Source organism: Homo sapiens, chromosome 16 (assembly GCF_000001405.40).
Source record: "Homo sapiens chromosome 16, GRCh38.p14 Primary Assembly".
In the NCBI taxonomy this organism is placed as follows: domain Eukaryota; kingdom Metazoa; phylum Chordata; class Mammalia; order Primates; family Hominidae; genus Homo; species Homo sapiens.
Window position 1 is genome coordinate 81,185,817 of NC_000016.10, and position 19,711 is coordinate 81,205,527.

General features: G+C 48.5%; 1 pseudogene across 1 annotated transcript in view; it reads right to left on the bottom strand.

Annotated features, from left to right (window-relative positions):
• PKD1L2 (polycystin 1 like 2 (gene/pseudogene)) overlaps positions 1-19,711 on the bottom strand; it is a 119,520-nt pseudogene that overhangs the window by 84,942 nt on the left and 14,867 nt on the right. The window contains exons 6-10 of the transcript NR_126532.3: positions 16,689-16,909; positions 12,846-13,250; positions 9,132-9,209; positions 4,849-4,898; positions 3,065-3,182 (exon numbers count right to left, since the gene is read on the bottom strand). The product of NR_126532.3 is annotated as a polycystin 1 like 2 (gene/pseudogene), transcript variant 1, non-coding (transcript). The remainder of the gene's footprint in view (positions 1-3,064; positions 3,183-4,848; positions 4,899-9,131; positions 9,210-12,845; positions 13,251-16,688; positions 16,910-19,711) is intronic.

Consider the following 19,711-nt stretch of genomic DNA (forward strand, 5'->3'; position numbering starts at 1 on the left):
AATTTTTTAATGTCAGTTTTATTATTTATTTATTTTGAGATGGAGTTTCCCCCTTATTGCCAAGGCCGGAGTGCAATGGCACCATCTTGCCTCACTGCAACCTCCGCCTCCTGGGTTCAAATGATTCTCCTGTCTCAGCCTCCAGAGTAGCTAGGATTACAGGCATGCACCACCACACCTGGCTAATTTTTGTATTTTTACTGGAGTTGGGGTTTCAACACGTTGGCCAGGCTGGTCTCGAACTTCCAACCTCAGGTGACCCACCCACCTCGGCCTTCCAAAATGCTGGGATTACAGGCCTGAGCCACCACACCCGGCCAAAACGTCACTTTTAATGCAGGTTGCAGAAATGGTGCTATGGAAGGATGCTTTTGGGAAAAAGAACCATGCTTCACCCAAACTCTGAGCAAATCTGCAGGATGTGGTTGGCTTGTGTTGCACTGGTGCTCAGGAAGGTGTGTAGCAGGAGAGGGGCCAGGAGGATCTGTGGCCCTGGGAGAAGGTCCAGGGCAGCTTCTTATCCCGGTATATTTGTCATTCCATGTGGATGAGGCTGTCCACAGCGCCAAGTCCCTGTGGGCTACTACGGCGGCCTGGGAGGTTGTACTGCCATCTGGGAGGCTGCTGTGTCACCTCCTGCTTTATGTTAGCAGCTTCCTAAGTTTCTGTATCCTCTGCCCTTCAACTCTATTGACAGATGTTTACTCATCAATACCTCACCTCCCACCATCTCCAATATGGTGACAGGCATATAGCAGCAGAGAGGCCAGGAAGATCTAAATCCCCAGGAGAATATTCCCAAGATTCCTGGGACTATTCCAAGAATTCCAAGATTCCCTAGATCTACAGCCCTGGGAGAACAGTCCCAAGATATGTTCCCTGAGCATATTTCCAAAATATGTTCAGGGTTCAGGCTCATCAGCTCGGTCGCCTAAACTCTGGACTTGCATACTCTGTATTCAGATAAGGAGAATGAATATTCAGAGGGATGTCATTACCACGTAACAATTAACATCAAAAGCCTTAAAATGTTGCATGACTTTTGACCCAGTTATTCCATTTCTACAAATTTATTTATGAAAGTAACCACAGTTGTAAATAGAGATTGAACTGTATAAGAGCAAACAATGTGAAACAATCTAAATGTCCAAAAAGAGGGTAAAGAAATGATCGCACATCAGCCGGGCACTGCGGCTCACGCCTGTAATCCCAGCACTTTGGGAGGCCGAGGCAGGTGGATCACCTGAGGTCAGGAGTTCGAGACCAGCCTGGCCAACATAGTGAAACCTCATCTCTACTAAAAGTACAACAATTAGTTGGGCATGGTGGCACGTGTCTACAATTCCAGCTACTCGGGACCTGAGGCAGGAGAATCGCTTGAACCTGGGAGGTGGAGGTTGCAGTGAGCCGAGATTGCGCCACTGCACTCCAACCTGGGTGACAGAGCGAGACTCCATCTCAAAAAAGAAAAAAAAATCACACATCAACATTATGGTCTATTGTGCAGCTATTAAGAAAATCAATATAGAGACGATACCACGACATTATAATATGCAAATATGCAGGTTACATTGTTCAATGAGAAAAGGGTAAAGAAAACAGTATGAATAACATTTCTTTCTTTCTTTCTTTCTTTTTTTTTTTGAGACGGAGTCTTACTCTGTCGCCCAGGCTGGAGTGTAGTGGCACAATCTCAGCTCACTGCAACCTCTACCTCCAACATTCAAGCGATTCTCCTGCCTCAGCCTTTTGAGTAGCTGGGATTACAGGCACCCACCACCATACCTGGCTAATTTTTATATTTTTAGTAGAGACGGGGTTTCACCACATTGGCCAGGCTGGTCTCGAACTCCCGTCCTCAAGTGATCCCCCCACCTCAACCTCCCAAAGTGCTGGGATTACAGGCATGAGCCACCGTGCCTGGCCCATTTATTTTATGTCTAAAAGCTAAAAGAATGTGTATGTAGCTAGGCTATATTCCTGTAAAAAGGAGGATACCATTTCTACAATGTGAGCGCTAGTGCTGCCATCTTGGTTTGTTGGAAAATGCCTGACTCACTTCCCCCTTCTAGATTCTCTCCCTAGGGATATACCAAAGGGCTGGGGAAAGGGGAGGAGTCCACACCAGAGAAGAGGAGCACTTTATCACTTTTGTTTGGAATTGTCAGCGTATGGACCAGCTTTTCAGGTTTCATTATTGTTTTAAAATTCTCTAGATCCCCTTGCTGCCTGCATTCAGGGCCACCCTTGGTCTGTCACTGCTTTCTCCCACCTTCTATTTTTTTTTTTTTTTTTTTTGAGACGCAGTCTTGCTCTGTTGCCCAGGCCAGAGTGCAATGGCACAATCTCAGCTCACTGCAACCTCCACCTCCCAGGTGCAAACAATTCTCCTGCCTCAGCTTCCTGAGTAGCTGGAATTACAGGTGTGCGCCACCACGCCTGGCTAATTTTTGTATTTTTAGTAGAGACGGGGTTTTGCCAAGTTGACCAGGCTGGTCTCAAACTCCTGACCTCCAGTGATCCACCTGCCTCGGTCTCCCAAAGTGCTGGGATTACAGGTGTGAGCCACCACGCCCGGCCCCACCTCCTATTTCCATGGAATTTGCAAGCTCTGGCATGTACAAGTTATACAAAATGTAGGCCATAGGGAAAGCTGGTGCGAAGATTAAGAAAAAGAACAGCAAAATCTGACCACTGCTCACCACTTCTTAGTGAAACAGGACAATTCAAGAACTCTATCATTGGCCAGGCGCGGTGGCTCACACCTGTAATCCGAGCACTTTGAGAGGCCAAGGCGGGTATATCGCTTGAGGTCAGGAGTTCGAGACTAACCTGGCCAACATAGTGAAACCCTGTCTCTACTAAAAATACAAAAATTAGCTGGGCGTGGTGGCAGGCACCTGTAATCCCAGCTACTTGGGAGGCTGAGGCAGGAGAATGGCTTGAACCCAGGAAGTGGAGGTTGCAGTGAGCCAAGATCACACCGTTGCACACCAGCCTGGGCAACAAGAGTGAAACTCCATCTCAAAAAAAAAAAAAAAAAAAGAACTCTATTGTCACCTACCACATGACCATTGGAAGCGTAACTCCTTGTCATTGTCTGGCCAGCCCAGGGTCACTGTCGTGAAAGGATCCACATATGGACCAGGTTGGATGTACACCTCCATATCGCCTTTATCTTTCTGCAAAAAAAAGCAGCCAGCTGGTGAGACTCCAACTACAGTTAGCTCAGGCTCACTGTGGGGTGCTGTTGGCATTCCCCTTTCACCCCAGAGCAGTCTGCACCAAGAGCAGCTGCAGTGTAAGGCGTGGGGTGGAGACAGACCCTGGCCAATCCCCCTGGCTTCCTTCCCCTCATGGGGCGTGGAGTTGGTTGCTCAGGATCCCTGGGCAAGTCACGTTATTCTGAGTGTTGGCTCGGGGTACACGGGGTGTTCCTGGAGTAAGTTCTGGTGGGACTTGTTAAACAGCTTGGGCTGTGGAGCTTCTTGCTCAAGCCCCGAAGTCCTGACCTGAAATAACACAGGGCTCCAGTGGAACTCAAGCCCCAGTGGCCTCCCGTGGCCTGAGAATAAAATCCAAATTTCTTGCCTTGGCAACTAAGGCTCCGCGTGATCTGGCCTCTGTCCACGTGTCCATAATCTCCTACATCCCTCCCTCCAACAGGCTCCAGCCACGCTGGCTTCAGGCCATCGCCTGCCTCTCAGATCTGCCCACTCAGAAAGCTCTTGTTCTGCTTTCAGGCATGGCTGGCTGGCTTATCTTCATGTGTCCGCTTACATGTCACCTCTGGAGAGGCCATGTCTGACCACATCAGCCAGACCACCCTGTTCGTTGCTATCGTTGCACTCTATTGGTTCTTATTAGATACTTACCACAATTCCTAATTCTATGATAATTTGTTTGTTGGAGTTTTTTTTTTGAGACAGAGTCTTACTCTGTTACCCAGGCTGGAGTGCAGTGGCACGGCCATGGCTCACTGCGCCTCAACCTCTCAGGCCCAAACTATCCTCCCACTTCAGCCTCCCAAGTAGCTGGGACCATAGGCATGTACCTTAATGCCTGGCTAATTTTTAATTTTGTTTTTTTTTTTTTGAGATGAGGGTCTCACTTTCTTGCTTGAACTCCTGGGCTCAAGTGATCCTCCCACCTTGGCCTCCCAAAGTGCTGGGATTACAGGCGTGAGCCACTGTACCGGGCCGATATGTTCGTTAGTATCACTCAGTAAGCTTCCTGAAGGCGGAGACCATATGTGCTTATTCACTATTGCATTCCCAGCCCCTGATACCAAGCCTTGAATGTTGTAGATGCACAGTAAGTCTTTGTTGTAGAATAAGTGCACGCACGAACAACGTCAACAGCAAGGAGCTGAACTCAGTCTTGTTATAAAAACTGAAGAGCTTGGTCTGTTTTCTTTTCTTCCTGCTTTCTAATATAAGCATTAAAAGCGATAAATTTCTCTCTGAGCACTGCTTTAGCTGCATTCCACAAATGTGCATAGGTTGTATTGTCATTATCATGTAGTTAGAAATTTTTTCTAATTTCCCTTGTGATTTCTTCTTGACCTATTGATTTTTTTACAAGTGTGCTGTTTAATTGCCAAGATATCTAACAGATATCTACATATCCTAGATAGCTCATTATAGATTTACAACATAACTCTGTTGTGATTAGACAACTTGCTTTGTTTGAATTCAGTCATTTTGGGCCTCTTCTCAAATGGAAGAAGCCTCAGGGATTCCTAGTGCTCTGGGTATTGGTACCAAAAAACCAAAACTCAAAACTAAAACAGAGTGCTTGGACATCTTTTCCTTGTGAGGTTAAACGTTTTTTAAAGACAATACTCACACTCTTTCCTTCAGCATTCATCCCAGATGGTTCTTGGAGACCGGAAGGGGCTGTGAACACAGTGGGAACGGGTATCAAGCTTTGGTTGGAAACCTTATAAAAGGCTGTCAAAATATAGAGTCAGAGAGTCATGTGGAAAATGCCACCAGGGGCGTCAGCCTGTCTTTGAAAATGGTTTAAGGGAACATAGCAAACATTCAGGTCCTAGGGAAATGGATTAAAAGTGAGTCATCTTGTCCACCACTGGACTAAAGACACCCCTTTGGTAGTTGAGAAAGAGGCAGCTGCCAGTGCAGATAAAACACAAGATTTAGAGTCAGACAGATGCAGCTATGCACTGCTAATGTGTGTTTTTGTTTTGTTTTGTTTGTTGTTTTTGTTTTTTGAGACACAGTCTTGCTCTGTCTCTCAGGCTGGAGTGCAGTGGGGCAATCTTGGCTCAATGCAACCTCTGTCTCCTGGTTCAAGTGCTTCTCCTGCCTCAGCCTCCTGAGTAGCCGGGATTACAGGCACCCACCACCACACCCAGATAATTTTTTTTTTTTTTTTTTTTTGAGACGGAGTCTCGCTCTGTCGCCCAGGCGGGACTGCGGACTGCAGTGGCGCAATCTCGGCTCACTGCAAGCTCCGCCTCCCGGGTTCACGCCATTCTCCTGCCTCAGCCTCCCGAGTAGCTGGGACTACAGGCGCCCGCCACCGCGCCCGGCTAATTTTTTTTTTGTATTTTTAGTAGAGACGGGGTTTCACCTTGTTAGCCAGGATGGTCTCGATCTCCTGACCTCATGATCCACCCGCCTCGGCCTCCCAAAGTGCTGGGATTACAGGCGTGAGCCACCGCGCCCGGCCAACCCAGATAATTTTTTGTATTTTTAGTAGAGACGGCGTTTCACCATGTTGGCCAGGCTGGTCTTAAACTCTTGACCTCAGGTGATCCGCCCATCTCAACCTCCCAAAGTGTAGGGATTAGAGGCATGAGCCACTGCACCCAGCCTGCACTGCTAATGTTTAACTACCAGTAAAGGAGGTGGGAGTGAGAAGCCCTGATTTGTAGGGTTTGTCAATTTCCATGGTATAAATGTTCCCACCAATCTATAAGCCTGATGCTACTGAATATAGAGTGAGGAGAGATGGGCACGCTCACCTCTGGCAAGTGGGTGGAGTCGGCACCACACACTACCCTGTTGTCAGATCCTCTTACTGGCCTCCCATTGGCTATGTGAACCGGGCAGGTGAGTTATCCTCTCTGAGTCTTGGTTTCCTCATTTGTAAAAATACCTGGAGTCCATCCCCATTTCTCAGGGCTCCAGGAAGACTGAATGTGGTGCTGTTTATAGAATTGCTTTGTAAACTATACATCTAGAAAGAATGTCATCCTGGCTAACACAGTGAAACCCCATCTCTACTAAAAATACAAAAAAATTAGCTGGGCTTGGTGGCGGGCGCCTGTAGTCCCAGCTACTCGGGAGGCTGAGGCAGGAGGATCGCTTGAACCTGGGAGGCGGAGCTTGCAGTGAGCCAAGATGGCTCCACTGCACTCCAGCCTGGGCATCAGAGCAAGATCCTGTCTCAAAAAAAAAAAAAAAAAAAGAAAGAAAGAAAGAAACAAAGAACGCTAGTTTTTCAAGTTTAAACAATGGAAAAAGATACAATCAATTGATGTCTCTGAAAATATATATATTTTTGAGATGGAGTCTAGCTCTGTTGCCCAGCCTGTAGTGCAGTGGCGTGATCTCGGTTCACTGCAATCTGCCCCTCCCGGGTTCAAGCAATTCTCCTGCCTCAGCCTGCTAAGTGGCTGGGGTTATAGGTGTGCACCACCACACCCAGCTAATTTTTGTATTTTTAGTAGAGACAGGGTTTCACCATGTTGGCCAGGCTGGTCTCGAACCTCTGACCTCCAGTGATCCACCCGCTTCGACCTCCCAAAGTGCTGGGATCACAGGCGTGAGCCACTGTGCCTGGCCTACTGAAAATATTGAAATATTAATGATTAATATCTAATTAAAGTGTAGTGCTTAAAGTAGGAACTTAGAGTTATTTCATGTGATTCACTAAGGCCCTGGATATATTAAGGTCTGAGTACCACTGATCTTTAAAAAATTCTCTCCCAGTGAATTCTCATTCACACAACTATAATTCCAAAGGCATGTAAAACTGTACAAATCAAGGCTAAGATGCCAGAGAAAGGGGACTTTCTTAACCTTAAGAAGGAAGGCAGTCCAATCACCCTGAATGAAAAAATTAGGAGAAACATTTGCTGCCTTTGATCCTGCATGAATCAGCCATGTGACTTCTGCAAAGTCAATTAAACTTTCTGGGTCTCAAATCCCACATCTGGCTGTCGAATTTCCAGGCATCTATGATCCCCTCCCTTGGTAGCAGCATCTACGGGTGATATTTTCCCTAAGAACCATCCCTCCCCAACTCTCAGGCCTTGGTTTGGGTGAAGCTGACCCTACATTGTACTCCAGCGTGGGCGTGAGACCCTGACCTGCCAAACTGACTGCTGCTTCCCCTGGTCTCAGCAGCTGGTCCAGGAGAAACCATGAACTGAGCTTCAGCCAGCAAGAGGCAGCCTCAGGACTTCTACTAGAAATATCCATCAAGACGTACTCTTTCTCCTCTGGGGTTAAAGATCAAAGCCTGGGGTCATCTTGCTACTGCTGGGAAGAGAGAATCCAAAAGAAGTCAACACAGAACCAGAGGAGGAAAGAGGCAGGTTTCTGAAGACACTGTCTGAGCGACTCATCCAGCTGTGTTTAAGAACAGGTCTACTCCCTGGGCTTTTCATTTTCATTTTCTTTTTTCTTTTTTTTTTTTGGTCGGGGGGTGGGGACACCATCTCACTTTGTCACCCAGGCTGGAGTGCAGTGGCATGATCTTGGCTAAATGCAACCTCTGCCTCCCAGATTCAAGCAATTCTCCTGGCCTCAGCCTCCCCAGTAGCTGGGACTACAGGTGTGTGCCACCACGCCCAGCTAATTATTGTATTTTTAGTAGAGACAGGCTTTCGCCATGTTGGCCAGGCTGGTCTCAAACTCCTGACCTCAAGTGATCCACCACCTCGGCCTCCCAAAATGCTGGGATTGTAGGCATGAGCCACGGTGCCCAGCTGGCTTTTCATTTTCTGAGCTGATAAAATTTCCTTTTGACCCAAGCCAGTTTCACCTTCGTTTCTGTCCCTTGCTACTTGAATTGTCCTAGCAAACACATTCAAGTGAACCCTACCTCTGTGATGGCTACTCTCAGCTAGTTCCCCAACAGCCATTACCCCAGCCTTCCTCCTGGCAGCCAGAATCCACCTTCTCCCACAGAAACTGAAAATGCTGGGTATCTGCTTTTCCAGTGCACTTTATAGCAGCGGACCTGACCCTACTTTGGTCATGGTATCTGAGGTGATGATTGCTTAGAGTGAGTGGGAAAGATTTTTCCCCTAATAAAAAGAGGTGCACAGGAGGAAACCCCTGCTCCCGCTGCTGGTACGCTGCGTTGACATGTAATATCCGGAACTGCAGCAGTCACTTTGATTCCTTGAGCAACAAGCCTAAGGCAGCACCAAAGCTCTAAGGATGGCAGACGAGAAAGATAGACTGAGCCTGGTTTCTCGCTGGCATCACTGAGCCACCGAACCAACCCTGGAAGTGCTTACCTCCTAACTTCTTATGTGAGTCAAGAAAGCCCTGAATCTGAAGCTACTTAGGTTGGACCTTCTGTTACTTGCAGCTTAAAGCATCATAATGAACGCAAACTCTTGTTTTAGAATTCTGTGTCAGTGGTTGGCCGGGTGCGGTGGTTCACGCCTGTAATCCCAGCACTTTGGGAGGCTGAGACGGGCGGATCATGAGGTCAGGAGATCGAGACCATCCTGGCTAACATGGTGAAACCCGGTCTCTACTAAAAATACAAAAAAATTAGCTAGGCGTAGTAGTGGGCACCTGTAGTCCCAGCAACTCAGGAGGCTGAGGCAGGAGAATGGTGTAAACCCAGGAGGCAGAGCTTGCAGTGAGCCGAGATCATGCCACTGCACTCCAGCCTGGGTGACAGAGTGAGACTCCATCTCAAAAAAAAAAAAAAAAAAAAAAAAAAGAATTCTGTGTCAGTGGTGAAATGTTTTACTGTAAACATCATTGCCTCCTTAGAATAACTGGAGAATTCTAACCATCTGTAGAACAAGATACATATTCAGAGCCGTGTTTGGAAAGGCCCCTCACTGGAGCCCAAGCAGGTGCAATGCTCTGGACTCTTGGTAAAAGGTTTTATGCTCCCTTGCAGAAACACCTTGCCTGTGATAGTGATGTTCCCGATTTCCAAACTCAGGTTGGAGAAGGCATTCCTCACCAGCATGGTGACCAGAAAGGTGCCTGCAATACAAAGGACCCAGAGTCACAGCCATTGTCATGAACTTGACCAAGAAAACTCTCCCAGCTTGCTTCTCTAGTCCACCGATGCCTCCAACGAAATCTTTCACCTCTGAGCATTTAATGAATCCCTGCTGTATGTCAGGCATGGTGCAAGGCTCTGGGGACACAGAGATGAAGGAGCTTGGTTCTTGTCCTCAAGGGCCTTATCATGTAGTAGACACATAGGACAGTGAACGCCAAACCACGGGAGGAATCGGCATGGGGCACAGTGGGCATTGGGTGGGCCCGCTTCAACCTCAGGAGAGAAAGAAATGGTTCACAGGATAGAGCCAGGGCTGGAGCTAAATTCCAAAGGAGAAGTAGGTTCTCGATAGATAAGACTGCAGATTCCCAAGAGGGAGACACATAGCAGGATTGTCAGAAGCGTGGAGACAGTGGAAAAGGATATTTTATTTTATTTTACTTTACTTTATTTTATTTTTGAGACAGGATCTTACTCTGTCATCCAAACTAGAGTGCAGTGGCACGATCTCAGCTCACCACAACCTCCACCTCCCAGGCTCAAGCAATTCTCCTGCTTCAGCCTCCCGAGTACCTGAGATTACAGGCTCATGTCACCACGCCAGGCTAATTTTTGTATTTTTAGTAGAGACAGGGTTTCACCGTGTTGGCCAGGCTTGGAGAAGGATTTGTAAGATTTATTTAGATACATGTGTGTCCCATCCCTTCTCCCTCATGGGGAAGGGGCTATGGGTAGGGGCTACCTTCTGTGTTCTCAAGCCCAGAGAGAAATGCTTGAGAGAGGAGCCTTCCTTGGAAAGCCCGGTATGTGTCTGTTTGGGGTCCGCATGGACAGGCTTCATACTCATGCCCTTGAAGGAACAGTCTGTGACGGGAAGACGTGCGGGTGGGAAGGGGACGGGAGGAAGGGGCTCCATTTCTGCGTCTGGGAAATAATTGCATTTGGCTGGGAGTCGGCCAAGACATGGGTCAGAATGTTCTGTGGACCAGATGTGTGCCTTGGGGAGACGGATGCTGACGAGGGGAGGGAGAATGAGGAGAGTCCAACAGAGAGGGGAGGTGGCCAGGGAGAAGCAGCCAGGGCGTGTGACCAGCTAAAGGGGAGGCATCCCCCACCACCCCAGGAACAAAGGCCTATAAGGCCCAGCTGGGGGCCCCAAGAACCCAGAGAAGCTCCTACAAGAAAGAGGCAGCTTGAAACATCTGCTAGCCCTCAAGAGCCAGGCCAGCTAGGACTCGGCCAGCACCACCAAGTGCAAATGTCCCTGCCCTGTCCCGTTCCCTTTCCATCCTTCCACTCCCGCCACCCCTGGAGTCATCCAAATCTGTTGGCCTTAGGGGCAGGAACAGTCTGTTAATCATCTAATAGTGAGCAAAAGTCACAAAGCACATGGATATTTTATCAGAGAGGGATCATCTTCCCCTGTGGAGTGACCTTTATAGCAGCGACTTTCATGGCAGGAGTAATTTTTATAGGTGACAAAGCAAAACCTGCATCTGGCTTATAACCCACGCGTGGTGTGATTTTCCAGCTGCAGCAGCCTCTAGACTTTCCCTCTTCCAAGCTGGACCCTTGGTATCTGGCAAAGCCCGGATGGTTTTCTTCTCAAACCTATTGTCCCTTCTGCTATCTGGTTTGTGGAGTTGCTTGCAGAGGGCATGGTAACCCCACACCTGCACAGTATCACCCGTTTTCTAACACACTTCTGAGATCCAGGGGGAGCTACGGGCAGGTCCTGGATGGGCTGGAGACTCTGCCATTCTCATCACATTTCTGCCTGCTGATCTCATCCGGGCCCTCAAGAACTCTCTGTTCCTTACAGATTAAATGCAAATGGGCGCTGTGGCCACCTCCCCTGGCTGGTGCCTGCCAGTCTGTCCTCCCGTCAGCATCATTGCAAATACTTCTGAGATAGACCAGAGATGGGACTTGGACCCCTGCCCTGCCTCATCGAGGACTCTACTACAAGCTGGTTGGGGAGGGTGGCCCATGGCAGGCACAGACCCCAGTCAGATCATCCAGACGTTGCACCACAAATCTTGCTCAAGGTGCCATGCCCACTGAGTGCAGACCTTGAGGAAACGAAAACAAACAGCTCCCACCTTAAATCTTACTCAAGGGAGTTAACCCTATAGCCCGCACACACAGAAGACCAGAAAAATGACCATCTTTACCCTTTGCCTCATTATAATACTAAAAATCATGCCCGAGGGTGGAGCTTTAACATGCTAATGAGACATACCACACATCAAGAAGCATGTGACCAGACTGCACAGGCGCTGAACATTCCCCACCTCCACATGCTTAAACATCGCCCTTTTCCCATCCTACCTCCTTTCAGAATGCCGGGAGTGGTGGCTCATGCTTATAAACCCAGCACTTTGGGAGGTCGAGGTGGGCAGATCATATGAGGTCAGGAGTTCAAGACCAGCCTGGCCAACATGGTTAAACCCCGTTTCCACTAAAAATAAAATAGTCAGGCATGGTGGTACATGCCTGTAGTCTCAGTGACTCAGGAGGCTGAGGCAGGAGAATCTCTTGAACCAGGGAGGTGAAGGTTGCAGTGAGCTGAGATCACGCCACTGCACTCCAGCCTGGGTGACAGAGTGGGACTCCATCTCAAAAAAAAAAAAAAAAAGACAGGCCGGGCACGAGGGCTCACGCCTGTAATGCCAGCACTTCGGGAGGCCAAGGTGGGTGGATCACCTGAGGTTGGGAGTTCAAGAGCAGCCTGGCCAACATGGTGAAACCCCTCTCTACTAAAAATACCAAAAAAATTCTCCGTGCGTGGTGGCGCATGTCTGTAATCCCAGCTGCTTGGGAGGCTGAGGCACGAGAATTGCTTGAACCCAGGAGGCAAAGGTTGCAGTGAGTCAAGATCACGCCACTGACTGCACTCCAGCCTGGAAGACAGAGCAAGACTCCATCTCTAAAAAAAAAAAAAAAAAAAAAAGAACGCCTTCTGGACTTTTTGGGGAGTCAGCCCCTGAACCTCCACTCCAGTGCTGCCTTCTTTATGTTTGAACATAAGCCTCTAACAAAAGCCTCGTCCAGGAAAGTTTGAGTACATCAGAGCCTAAGACCCCATGGTCGGCAACACTTCCTCTCTCCATCCCCATCTCTGCCATTCTTGGTTTTTACCTCTTTCCCGCTAGGGCATCACCTGCAGTTCCCCAAACCACACTCTTCTCTAGAGATGTTTGAAGAAATCTGAATATGCCTGGTCTCTTACAGGGGCCCTAAATGGGGGTGATTTTGCCCCCCAGGGGACATTTGGCAATGTCTGACATTTTTGTCATCATGACTTGGGGTGCTGGTGTTACTAGCATCTGGTGAATAAAAGCCAGAGATGCTGCTAAAACTCCTTCAGTACCAGCCCCCAACTGTAACGAGGAATGATCCAGCTCCGAATGTCAGAAGTGCCGAAGTGGAGAGCTGATAACTCAACGATGGCAGATTACATCTGGCTGTTCCTTATCTTATGACCCAGGCAGGATGCTGTGAACCAAATCTATGTCCCGGACACACTGGAAAACTGGCCGGCAGGACCCTGGGCACCAAGTCACAAAGGGAAGAGGAGGGGCATCAGAAGGGGAGCCACTAACCCCATGTACCTTCAACCGGAACAGCCAGGCGGCAAATCCCAAATGGCTCTCCAAAGCTCACTTGCTCGTGGGAGAAGGTTGCATTGAGTCCAGCCACCTCAAAGGTCAGCTCTTCCGGGGTGCCCTGAGCCAATGAGATGGTGATCAATAGGTCCTGTCCAAGCTCCAAATGGTCAGAAGCCCAGGAGGCCTGCAGCCCTGACAGCAGCTCCACCAAGTGGACTGTAATGTTTCTGGAGATTGTAGAGGTGGTGGTGTTGCCGGTGGCTTGGATCTCCAGGCGGTGCCTCCCAGGGCCCATCAGTTTCTGGGTTTCTCTGTCCAGGATCAGATTGTACGGTAGCGAGCCCTTTTGGGTGGTGGACTCGGCCAGGGTTATGTCACCCAAAAGCACAGTGTAAGTCACTCCTGTTCCTAAGTGGGGTAAGAAAAATTAAAGAATGTTGGTAACAACCATGCGGTTGATAATACTATGGCAGCTCAGAGTCAGTCTCTGAAGCCTGATTCTGGATACAAACTTGGATACAGATGCAGACATAAAGAAATATGTAAGGATATGCCCCCTTCTCAAATATTAATGGTGGTTATCCCTGAGTATTAGGTTAATGACTGATTTCGTCTTTCTTTTGAGACAGGGTCTGGCGCTGTCGCCCAGGCTGGAGTGCAGTGGTGCGATCTCAGCTCACTGCAACCTCTGCCTCCCCGGTTCAAGTGATTCTCCTGCCTCGGCCTCTGGAGTAGCTGGGATTACAGGCGCCTGCTACCACACCCAGCTAATTTTTTGTATTTTTAGTAGAGACAGGGTTTCACCGTGTTAGCCAGGATGGTCTTGAACTCCTGACCTTGGATTTGCCCGCCTCAGCCTCCCAAAGTGCTGGGGTGACAGGCGTAAGCCACCGCTCCCGGCCGTGATTTTGTCATCTGGGGGTCCGCTCTGTTCATTTGCATATTCTAACTTATTTATACTATACATGTCTTACCCGAGAACCTAAATATTTGTAATTAAAAAATTACCACATTTAGTTGCCAGGGATGTCCTGGTCGGGGGAGGAGGAGGAGGACTAAAAGGGAGCATTTCTTAAGGGTGGGGGCTGATTTTTATGCATGAGAATTAGCTTTGGGTCTTGTTTTAAGCAGGAGCAAGTAAAGCCATTCCTTCATCCTACACTGGTGACCGCCCAGAACCCTGCAAACCAACATGAGAACTCAGCCCGTTCACGGGAAGATGGGGGCTCCCTTGCAGGTTGCAGATGGTTGTTCTTACTGGATGATAAATATTGCGGTTGACTCTTAAAATCTGACTTAAATCAACAAATTAGGATTCCTTCCAATAAAAACCAAGCTAGCGTAGTTCTCATCTGGGTGATGATGATGATAACTACGATATAAGCCCCATGAGAATGGGAACCCTGACTTTCATATTTACTGCTGCCTCGCCCACACCCGGCAGAGTAGTAGGCACTCAATTATATTAGTAGGATGAGTAAATAAATGAAGGATTATTTTGTTTCCTCAGGGGAACATATGAGCCCTCTTCATCCAACAAACATGCAAGAACAGAAGGGGTTTCCTGAGGGCTGTGTTAAAGCCCCATTATGACTTCCACAGCTATTGCTATGAGAGGGCTCCAGGTGGGATGTGAGGTCAAACCGAGCCACCTGCTCATTGCACTAGCTCTCTGCTGCCCTGTTTACATCAACAGGCCTCTATTCTAATCTCAAACTGGTCCTGGGCTTCAGGAAAAACGCTGCCCTGGGTGAGGATGAGTCTTAGCCAGGAGAGTCTCTATTGAGAGAAAGGATGATAATTTAAAATATTTAACAACCAGCACAGCATGGGCGCCAACCAATTAGAATGGATGCTCTGATAAATCAGAATAGACACTGCGACCAACAAATAGATGCCATGACCAATCAGAATAGATGCTGTGACCAATCAGAATGGACACCCTGACCCATCAAAATAGACATGACAACCAATCAGAGCAGTCTCTGTGACCGATTAGAAAACACAGGCTGGGCGCGGTGGCTCATGCCTGTAATCCCAGCACTTTGGGAGTCCGAGGCGGGTGGATCATGAGGTCAGGAGTTCAAGACCAGCCTGGCCAATATGGTGAAACCCTGTCTCTACTAAAAATACAAAAATTAGCTGGGTGTGGTGGTGGGCGCCTGTAATCCCAGCTACTTGGGAGGCTGAGGCAGGAGAATCGCTTGAATCCAGGAGGCGGAGGTTGCACTGAGCTAAGATCATGCCATTGCACTCCATCCTGGGACACAGCGAGACTCCATCTCAAAAAAAAAAAAAAAAAAAAAGGAAAACACACTGTGGGCAGGCACAGTGGCTCATGCCTGTAATCCCAACATTTTGGGAGGCCGAGGTGGGCAGGTTACCTGATGTCAGGAGTTCAAGACCAGCCTGGCCAACATGGCGAAATCCCATCCCTACTAAAATAGAAAAAAATAAAAAATTAACCTGGCATGGTGGCACGCACCTGTAGTCCCAGCTACCCAGGAGGCTGAAGCACGAGAATCACTGGAACCCGGGTGGTGGAAGTTGCAGTGAGCTGAGATCGCACCACTGCACTCCAGCCTGGATGACAGAGCAAGACTCTGTCTCAAAAAAAAAGAAAAGACACTGTGACCGATCAGAATGGACATGACAATCAATCAGAGCAGTCTCTGTGACCAATCAGAAAACACCCTGTGACCAATGAGAATGGACCTCAGCCATAACAGTTGGCATGGCTATACCAGTGGGTGCAGCTGAATACTGGCCTTGGCCAGGGGCAACTTGATTGTGCCAAGCTAGTCGATGCTGGCTGTACTGAGATGGGCTCAGGCCCAGTTGGTAGCAGTCCCAGTGCCACCTCATCCTAGTTAAATTCCCAAAAGGAAGTGACTCGGAAGTTCGGTTCTACAGGGATGCAAAGAAGGGCCTTTGGAAGGCTAGGAGCACTCACTACCTTACTAGCCTTCTGACTCTGGGCAAATGTTTTAACCTTTCTGTGTCTTCATTTCTTCATCTGTAACATGAAGATAATACTACTATGTAATGAGTAGACAAGTTTATGCAAAGCACTTAGAACAGTGCCTGGCACACACTAGGTGCTAAATAAATGAATAAATGATAGTTTAAAAATGAACTCGGTCAGGTGTGGTGGCTCACACCTATAATCCCAGCACCTTGGGAGGCCAAGCTAGGTGGATCATCTGAGGTCAGGAGTTTGAGACCAGCCTGACCAACATGGTGAAACCCTGTCTCTACTAAATACAAAAAATTAGCCAGGTGTGGTGGTGCATGCTTGTAATCCCAGCTACTTGGGAGGCTGAGGCAGGGGAATCACTTGAACCCAGGCGGTATAGGTTGCAGTGAGCTGAGATTGTGCCGTTGCACTCCACCTGGGCAACCAGAGCAAAACTCCATCTCAAAAAAAAAGAACTCAGTAGGTGATCCTTGTTACTATTTATTTACTTTTTTTTGAAACAGGGTCTCACTCTGTTGTCCTGGCTGGCATGCAGTAGCATGATCTCAGCTCACTACAGCCTCGACCTCCCGGGTTCAAGCCATACTCCCACCTCAGCCACCCAAGTAGCTGCAACTACAGGCATGTGCAACCATACCTGACTAATTTTTGTACTTTTTGTACAAATGGGGTCTCACCCTGTTGCCCAGGCTTGTCCCGAACTTCTGGGCTCAAGCGATGCGCCCGCCTCAGCCTCCCAAAGTGTTGGAATTGCAGGCTCAAGCCACTGCACCCAGCCCACTATTTATTAAGGTCTGGGAGTTGGATAGATTTGGAGGAAATCAGTGATTTTATAGCTTGCCTTGATGTGCCCAATTCTGCAGACTCACCTCCATCAAGCTCCACCTGAATCCACAGAGGATCCCCAAAGACAGCCTGGCAGAGAGGGCCGGCTCCTGACTGGGACAGGCCGGAGCATGCAGTCACACTGAGCGTCTCCATCTTGTCTCGCACGGTCACCTGCCTCTGAGCTGTCACATGCCACTCACTGGTTGTGCATTCAGCAAACACGGTGAATTCCCCAGGAGATGTGAACTGGTGGGTCACATTGCTGGACACATTGCCGGCCACAGTCAGGGACATGACCAGTGTTGGGGAAACACAAAGACACGCATTTACACATGCACTGACAGGGTTTGGATCTGCGCTCCTGCCCAAATCTCATGTTGAATTATAATCCCCAATGTTGGAGGTGGGGCCTGGTGGAAGGTGATTGGCTCATAGGGGCGTTTTCTCGCGAGTGGCTTGGCACCATCGCCCTGATGCTGTTCTCTTGGTAGTGAGTGGGTTTTCACAAGATCTGGTTGTTTAAAAGTGTATGGCTGGCCAGCCTTGGTGGCTTATGCCTGTAATCCCAGCACTTCGGGAGGCCGAGGCGGGCAGATCGCTTGAGGTCAGGAGACAGAGACCAGCCTGGCCAACGTGGCGAAACCCCATCTCTACTAAAAACACAAAAGTTAGCTGGGCGTGGTGGTGCACACCTGTAATCCCAGGTACTAGGGAGGCTGAGGCAGGAGGATCGCTTGAACCCAGAAGGCGGAGGTTGCAGTGAGCTGAGATCGCACCACTGCATTACAGGCTGGGCGACAGAGTAAGAGCCTGTCTCAAAAAAAAAAAAAAAAAAAAAAAAAAAAAAAAAAATCCAGCGAGTACTAGTAACACTAGCAATAATAGTAACAACTTAGACTATGTCGTTCCTGGCCTGAAAACCCTCCTATTATCCTCTGTAGTGGGTGCTACAGGGAATCCCCCAGATTCCACCCTTCAAGCCTGAGCATGCATTCCCCCAGTACACCTGTGAGCTGTGGCTGAGGGCTTACAGCTGAATCCATGTCCAGGAGTCCCTTTTAGCCAAAGGGAGCTGCCTCGCTCAAACCTACCTCCCCTCCCATGGACATCTGCACCCCACGAGTGCTCAGTGCCGGGGTATAATGGTCTGGCTCTCTGGCCTCAACTGGAAGCAACTCTGAGGGCCATCTCTGCTCAGAGGTTTCTGCAGGATCGTCAGGGTCTCTGTGGCCCCTGCATCCCAGTTCAACTCTCCTCTTGCCCCATCTTACTACTCCCTTCCCATGCTCCACAACAGAGTCTGTTTCCTGGTTCCTGTGAGACAAAGTAGCAAACTCAAGGAGATAGGTGTGCTCATTTCTGTTAGCCAGCATAATCACAGGAAGCCCCTGACTGCAGTGACAGGCAGCCCTCCAGAACACTTTGAAGACAAAACAGAATAGAGTGCTCGGCTTCCACGTCTCTAGCCTGAGTCACTATATCCCTAAAAAGATAAATGACTGGTCCTTTTCTTACATATAAGATAATGTCTCGCTGGGTGCAGTGGCTCACGCCTGTAATCCCAGCACTTTGGGAGGCCGAGGTGGGCGGATCACGAGGTCAGGAGATTGAGACCATCCTGGCTAACACGGTGAAACCCCGTCTCTACAAAAATACAAAAAAAAAAAATTTAGCCAGGCGTGGTGGCGGGCGCCTGTAGTCCCAACTACTTGGGAGGCTGAGGCAGGAGAATGGCGTGAACCCGGGAGGAGGAGCTTGCAGTGGGCCGAGATCGCGCCACTGCACTCCAGCCTGGGTGACAGAGCAAGACTCCGTCTTAAAGAAAAAAAAAAAAAGATAACATCTGAGATGGCTGGTGATTATGCTTCTGCAATCTACAACAAGATTTTTTTTTTTTTTTTTTGAGACAGAGTCTTTCTCTGTTGCTCAGGCTGGAGAGCAGTAGCAGGATCTCCGCTCACTGAAACCTTCGCCTGCCAGGTTCAAGCGATTCTCCTCCATCAGCCTCCTGTGTAGCTGGGAATACAGGCATGCACCACCACGTCCAGCTAATTTTTTTTTTTTTTTTTTTTTTTTTAGTAGAGATGGAGTTTCACCATGTTGACCGGGCTGGTCTTGAGCTCCTGACCCCAAGCGATCTGCCCACCTTGGCCTCCCAAAGTGCTGGGATTACAGGCATGAGCCACCGAAGCCGGCCAACAAGATATACTTTAGTCATCTAGAGGCAGATGCACTCTTGCACCCAAACTTTGATGTGATTTTACGTGGACTGAACCTCCACAACCCATATAGAAGCTGTGAGCTGAAACACTGTTTTGGAGCAGTCTGGCAGAACCTCTTTGAAAGACCTCCCAGGCTGTAGTTCTCAGTCTGTCGTCCTGAACAAAACTAACTTTAATTATTTAAAAAGCTTGATTTTTCTTTAGTTGACAGACCCCACCTACGTTAGACTGGCTAGCATCAACAGCTCTTCAGGACCAGGCTCCTGCTGAGTTTTTCAGCATCTTTCATTCTTCCACAGAGTCCTGAACTCCAGGCATGGCGAGGTCCTTGCAGTTATTTGAATACGCCACATGCTTTCAGGTCCATGCTACTCTCTTTTCTCTAGATCCATTGCTCTTGCCTTATAATTCTGGTTCCCCGAGAGAGGACTTTAGCTCTAGGTCACTCTAAGGCTCCTGCTGTTTTGTGGATTATTAGTTTCAGACAAATCTCTGCACGCCCAATATCAGCTGTGCGCAGAAGCAGCCGATTAACGGAAGAACAATGTCAATCCCTAGATTTGCCAGAAGGTGGCGCTCAGCTAACCAACGCTGGATTCACACAGATTTCACCAAAAGCAAATTGTTCTGTAAGGCCCGTAATACAGTTTCAGAAATGTGGAAAATTTTCCATGACAAACACAGAAAAAAAAAAGGCCCTCCATGCAAATGAATATAAGGCAAGGTAAAAAGGAGCTTCTAACAGAGAAGTCTTCTGACTCCTAAGCAATGCAATTCTTCCCAGGAGCTCTTATTATTTATCAACAATGGATACGAAGGGTTTGATTTAAACATCTCACCTC